At 42.9% G+C, this 7,169-nt stretch overlaps 1 pseudogene; it reads left to right on the top strand.

The window, feature by feature from the left end:
• Positions 2,765-3,151, top strand: HMGN2P34 (high mobility group nucleosomal binding domain 2 pseudogene 34; annotated as a pseudogene).

Here is a 7,169-nt window from a genome sequence, read left to right as displayed (position 1 = left end):
AAAAAAGACAAAGTAAAGCAGGGGAAGGAGGATTAAAACTGCTGTAGATGGGGAGGTGGTAGAGTGTGTATTACAGCTTTAAATAGGATAGTCAAGATAGACCTCATTGTGAAGTAACATTTAAGCCAAGACCTGAGGGAAGTTAGGCAATTAGACGTGTGGATATGTGGCAGAACTTTCTAGGAAGACGGAATTGCCAGTAAGGGTGAAGAAGTGTAAGAGGTAGAGATGCAGGAGCAAGAGAAATGAGGTCAGAGAGGTACAGGGTAGGGGGGATATGTCAGATCCTGTGGGCCTTATGGATGACTGTAATAACTTGCTTTGCTTCTGAGGAAAATGGAGAGCTGTTATAGAAGTGAAACAATTGGCATACATTTTTACAAGGTTCACTCTTGCTTCCATTTGAGAATAGACTATTGGCAGACAAGGGTGGAAACAGAGATAATAAAGAAGCAACTGGATTGCCTAATAAGGAAGCAATTATCCCAATAATTCAGGCGAAAGATGTTGGTAGCACAGACTGCAGTGATACATCTGTTAAAGAGTTGAAGGAAGAATTAGTGATAGACACAGAGAAAACTAAGCAAAGTAAATAAAGGAATCAATTATTAACTGTAGATAAACCAGGAAATGGCATAAAGAAAGGTAATTATAGCAGTCCACATGAATCAGTTGTGAATAACATTTACCTAGTGCTATGGTTTCAATATGCTTTGTTTGTCCCCAGAAAACTCATGTTGAAATTTGATCCCCAACTTGACAGTGCTGGGTGGTGGGGCCTAGTGGGAGGCATGTGCATTATGGGAGCAGATCCTTCATGAAAGACTTGGTGCTATTTGGTCAGGCAGTTAATTTTTGCTCTTGAGAAACTGTATTAATTTTCTCAGGAATGGATTAATTCCTGAGAGAACAGGTTGTTATAAAGTCAGGATGCCCTCAGGTTTCCCCCTCTTCACATGCATCTACTTCCCCTTTAACCGTCTCCACCATGTTGTGAGAAAACCCTCGATAAGGCAGGGAGTGGTGGCTCACGCCTGTAATCCCAGCACTGTGGGAGGCCGAGGTGGGCGGATCACCTGAGGTGAGGAGTTCAAGGCCAGCCTGACCAACATGGTGAAACCCCGTCTCTACTAAAAATACAAAAATTAGCCAAGCGTGGTAGCACCCACTTGTAGTCCCAGCTACTTGGGAGGCTGAGGCAGGAGAATTGCTTGAACCTGGGAGGCAGAGGTTGCAGTGAGCTGAGACCATATCATTGTACTCTAACCTGGGCAACAAGAGTAAAACTCCATCTCAAAAAAAAAAAAAAAAAAGAAAAATTAATACCTCATGGAGATGTCACATTTTTACCTAACCAGATTGGCAAATATACAGAATTTTTATAATACATTATGTTGGGGAGGATAATGGGTAAACAGACATTCTCATACATTGCTTGTGGAGTATAACTTGTCATGTTGTCAACCAGCGTGGTGGCTCACGCCTGTAATCCCAGCACTTTGGGAGGCCGAGGCGGGCAGATCACAAGGTTAGGAGTTTGAGACCAGACTGGCCAATATGGTGAAATCCGATCTCTACTAAAAAAATACAAAAATTAGCCGGGTGTGGTGTGGGCACCTGTAGTCCCAGTTACTCGGGAGGCTGAGGCAGGAGAATTGTTTGAACCCAGGAGGTGGAGGTTGCAGTGAGCCGAGATGGCCTCACTGTACTCCAGCCTGGGGGACAGAGCGAGACTCTGTCTCAAAAAACAAATAAATAAATAAAAATAAATAAAAAATAACTTGTCATGTCAATTTGGTAAAATTATAAAAATTACAAAATGTAGACACCCCTTTCCAGAAAGATCTTTTTGCCCCAGCTGCTAGGAGTTCTGTCAGCAGACAGTCTTCATTTGTCAGCCCCTTCAAGTTTTGCCTCAGCAGCAAAGAGCTGTCTCACCCAAGGATATGCTTTTTTGTGGCAACCCACATCCAATGACTGATATAAAGGACTTGCCATTTCCCCCCAGTGCAGGACAACTCTGCTGAGTCATTTCAGCTCCACAGCTTTCCGACGGGGTTATCTTAGGCTGCATGAGTGCATCACAGGCCAGCTTCTGCTTCTGCCAAATTCCGTCTTCCTTCTCCCTTTCATAGCTGTTGAACCCAAGAATACCTCCCAATAAATGTCTGGAACTCTAAATTTCTGTCCCAAAGTCTGCTTCCAAGAGAAATCAGTCTGTGAAACTCACGGCTCCACAGCTTCATTTCCAGGAGTTTACATAGACTCACACATAGACAAAAATGGTGTATATTTAAGGTTATTTATTGCAAAAAAATTTTTTGACGTAGGATCTTACTCTGTAGCCCAGGCAGAATGTGGTAGCATGATCATAACTCACTGCAGCCTCCAATTCTTGACTCCAGTGATCCTGCCGCCTCAGTGTCCCAAGTAGCTGGGACCAAAGGTGCGTGCCATTATGCCTGGCTAATTTATTTTTATTTTTTGTAGAAATGGGGGTCTCTCTGTTGCCCAGGATGGTCTTGAACTCCTGGCCTCAAGCAATCCTCCTGCCTCAGCCTCCCAAAGTGCTGAGATTACAGGTGTGAGTCATGCACATGACTTATTGCAGATTATTTGTAAGAACAAAAATTGGAAATAAATGTTTGATTACATAAATCAGGTGACTGATTAAATAAAGGCATATGTATACAATGAAATATCATGTCACAATATAAAAAGCAGATAGCTGTTTATATAATGATAGCAAAAGATCTTCAAAATGGAGCAGTGTGAAGAAGAGGCGAGAACGACCCCCAATTGACCAAAGCCTATGCGCCCTGCATCTCTGCAATCAGTGCCTATGTTCCGCCACCATGGTTACCAAGCCCAAGAGAAGGGTTGAAGGGGATGTTAAAGGAGATAAAGCCATGGTGAAGGACAAACCTCAGAGAAGATCTGAAAGGTTGTCTGCTAAACCTGCTCCTCCAAAGCCAGAGCCCAAGCCTAAAAGTGCCCTGTAAAGAAGGGAGAGAAGGTACCCAAAGAGAAAAAGGGAAAGGCTGATGCTGGCAAGGAGGGGAATAAACCTGCGGAAAATAGAGATGCCCAAACAGACCAGGCACAGAAAGCTGAAGGCACTGGAGATGCCAAGTGAAGTGTCTGCAGTTTTTTTTGTTTGTTTGTTTGTTTGTTTGTTTTTTTAGGCAAAGTCTCACTCTGTTGCCCAGTCTGGAGTGCAGTGGTGTGATCTCGGCTCACTGCAACCTCCGTCTCCCGGGTTCAAACGATTCTCCTGCCTCAGCCTCCCAAGCAGCTGGGACTACAGGCGTGCACCACCATGCCCAGCTAATTTTTGTATTTTTAGTAGAGATGGGGTTTCACTATGTTGACCAGGCTGGTCTCCAAATCCTGACCTCGTGATCCGCCTGCCTTGGCCTCCCAAAGTGCTGAGATTATAGGTGTAAGCCACCAAGCCCGGCCTATTTATTTATTTGTCTGGAGTGCAGTGGTATGATCTCGGCTCACTGCAACTTCCGCCTCCCAGGTTCAAGCGATTCTCCTGCTTCAGCCTCCTGAGTGGCTGGGACTACAGGCACCTGCCACCACACCCAGCTAATTTTTTTATTTTTAGTAGAGAAGGGGTTTCACCATGTTGGCCAGGCTGGTCTTGAACTCCTGACCTCAGGTAATCCACCCACCTCGGTCTCCCAAAGTGCTAGGATTACAGGTGTGAGCCTCTGCGTCTGGCCTGCATTTTTTTATTTTTTATTTTTGAGATGGAGTCTCGCTCTGTCGCCTGGGCTGGAGTGCAGTGGTGCGATCTCGGCTCACTGCAAGCTCTGCCTCCCAGGTTCACGCCATTCTCTTGCCTCTGCCTCCAGAGTAGCTGGGACCACAGGCGCGTGCCACCACGCCCGGTTAAATTTTTTTGTATTTTTTTTAGTAAAGATGGGGTTTCATCGTGTTAGCCAGGATGGTCTCAATCTCCTGACCTTGTGATCCGCCCGCCTCGGCCTCCCCAAGTGCTGGGATTACAGGCATAAGCCACCATGCCCGGCATGGCCTGCATTTTTTATAACTGTGTACTTCTGGTGACTATACAGTTTGAAATACTATTTTTAAGTCCAGGTGCGGTGGCTCACGTCTATAATTCCAACACTTTGGGAGGCTGAGGTGGGAGAATCGCTTGAGCCCTGGAGTTCAAGACCAGCTGGGCAACATGGTAAAACCCCTGTCTCTCCAAAAAAAAAAAATTAGCTGTGTGTGTGTGTGTGTGTGTGTGTGTGTGTGTGGTGGCACATCTCTGTAGTCCCAGCTACTCAGAAGGCTGAGGCAGGAGGATTGCCTGAGCCCAGGAGTTTGAGGGTGCAGTGACCTGTGATTGCACAACTATACTTCAGCTTGGGCAACAGGGTGAGACCCCATCTCTTTAAAAAAAATGTGTGTGTGTGTGTTTGTGTATGAATGAAGGATGCATTAAAACTGTAATTGGTTGCCTATAAGTAGATTTGGGTGTCTCAGGAACAAAGGTGGAAGGGAGGCTTTTCTTTTCTTTTCTTTTCTTTCTTTCTTTTTTTTTTCTGAGACCAAGTCTCTCTTTGTTGCCCAGGCTGGAGTGCAATGGTGTGATCTTTGGCTCACTGTAACCTCCGCCTCCCAGGTTCAAGTGATTCTTCCTGCCTCAGCCTCCCAAGCAGCTGGGATTACAGGCGCCTGCCACCATGCCCAGCTAATTTGTGTATTTTTAGTAGAGACAGGGTTTTGCCATGTTGGCCAGGCTGGTCTCAAACTCCTGACCTCAGGTGATCTGTCTGCCTTGGCCACCCAAAGTGCTAGGATTACAGGCATGAGCCCCGTGCCCAGCCAAGACTTTTCATAGTATATATATTTGCAGTTTTTGGATTCTACACCATCTGAATGTGTTACATAATCATTAGAAAAAATTTTTGCTTGAATTATCTGAATTTTAAGACTACATATAAAAATTACATATGCACAGCTTTGATAAAATAAAAATTAAGTAAACAAAGACTTATCTGTTAAAAATTAAACACAAGAACATATTGTAGGCCAGGTGTGGTGGCTCACACCTGTAATCCCAGCACTTTGGTCAGGAGTTCGAGACCAGCCTGGCCAACATGGCGAAATCCCGTCTCTACCAAAAATACAAAAATTAGCCAGGCATGGTGGTGGGCGCCTCTAATCCCAGCTACTCAGGAGGCTGAGACAGGAGAATCGCTTGAACCTGGGAGGTGGAGGTTGCAGTGAGGCAAGACTATCGAGCCATTGCACTCCAGCCTGGGCAACAACAGCGAGATTCCATCTCAAAAAAAAAAAAAAAAAAAAAAAAAAAGAACATATTGTATAGAGTGAGGGCCAGGCATGGTAGCTCACGCCTGTAATCTCAGCACTTTGGGAGGCTGAGGCAGGAGGATTGCTTGAGGCCAGGAATTTGAGACTAGCAACATAGTGAGACCCTATTTGTATATATATATAAAAAAAATAGCCAGCCAGGTGTTGTGCCACGTGCTACTTGGCAGGAGAATCATTTGAGCCCAGGAGTTCAAGGCTGAAGTGAGCTATGATCTCACCACTGCAATCTAGCCTGGGCAACACAGTGAGACTCTATCTCTAAAATAAAAATAAAAATAATGAAAAAGAACCTATTGTACAGAACTATTCCCATTTAAAAAAATTGTGTAAATAAACAGATACGTACATTGATATAAGCACAAAGAGTTTAGAAGGATACAAAAACTTAATAGTAGTTATCTCTGTGGGTAACATTAGAGTGGAGAGGAGGGCTTACTTTTTATTTCTAATGCTCCTTAATTGTTTGAATTTAAGCGTCTGCATACCTTTGTAATAAAGAAAGTTTAAATTTATAAGAGACAAAATTTAAAAATAGGGAAAAAACCAATTTAGGAATTCTTTTAGAGGAAACTTTAGATGATGCTTACAGGAAGCCGAAAACTAATCGCCTAAAATAAGAAAACTGGAACAAGTATACTAACTTTGCTTTTTCTCCCTTGTTTAACCTTAATTATTCTGGGTAATTGGCTCAACTAATCAATTTCTTAAAACATCTAGAATTAAATTTTAGTTGCAAATGAGAAAAGTTCCTGTAAGAGGGATTGGGAAATGTTTTGGTCTTTTTTAAATTCAGCAGGTTTTCTTCTTATTGGAAGTATATAATCAACTAAAATCATAAAAGATAACTACCACATGACTTTACTAATAAAAGTGGAAATAAAATAACTAAAATCAATTAAAGAGTTGATGATGAATGTTCTGTCCCACTCTGGAATGATGTCTAAGAGAGCAATTATTTTAGAGGAAAGTTTAGATGATGCTTACAGGAAGCTGGGGAGCCGTTAACTTTTTTTTTTTTTTTTTTTCCTTCTGAGATGGAGTTTCGCTCTTGTTGCCCAGGCTGGAGTGCAGTGATGCAATCTCGGTTCACTGCAACCTCCGCCTCCCGGGTTCAAGTGATTCTCCTGCCTCAGCCTCCCAAGTAGCTGGGATTACAGGCATGCGCCACCATGCGCAGCTAATTTTGCATTTTTATTAGAGACAGGGTTTCTCCATGTTGGTCAGGCTGGTCTCGACCTCCTGACCTCAGGTGATCCACCTACCTAGGCCTCCCAAAGTGCTGGGATTACAGGTGTGAGCCACCGCACCTGGCCTAACTTTTTTCTTTACAAAAACTATTTAAATTTATAGAAAAAAGTGCAATAGTAGAGAAATCCTGAATATCATTTCTTTGTATTCACCAATTTCAAACATTTTTTTCCATTTGCTTTATCATTTTCTCCCTTTAGATATTTTGATTTATTTTTTCTGACCCATTTGAGAATAGGTTGCTTACGTCATGCCCCTTTCCTCTTCATACTTTAGTGTATACTTACTAAGAAAAAAGATATTCCTTTTAATAATCACCACAGTTGTCAAATGTAGGAGCTACTTTTATCTAATCTGCGGTCCACATTCCAATTTTGTCAATTGTTCCAATGGATATTTTATAGCATTTGCCCCTTCTGGTATAAGTTCCAATTTAGGATCATGTACTGACTTTTTTTGGTCAAGTCTCCTTAGTCTCTTTTAATATGGAATAGTTAGTTCCTCTGCCATTTTTTTCCTTTCATGATGGTTATTTCACAGAATGCTCCTCAATATGGGTTTGGTTG

The sequence above is a fragment of the Homo sapiens genome, chromosome 10, assembly GCF_000001405.40.
Source record: "Homo sapiens chromosome 10, GRCh38.p14 Primary Assembly".
NCBI classification, from domain to species: Eukaryota; Metazoa; Chordata; class Mammalia; order Primates; family Hominidae; genus Homo; species Homo sapiens.
This window is presented reverse-complemented; position numbering and strand designations above follow the sequence as displayed.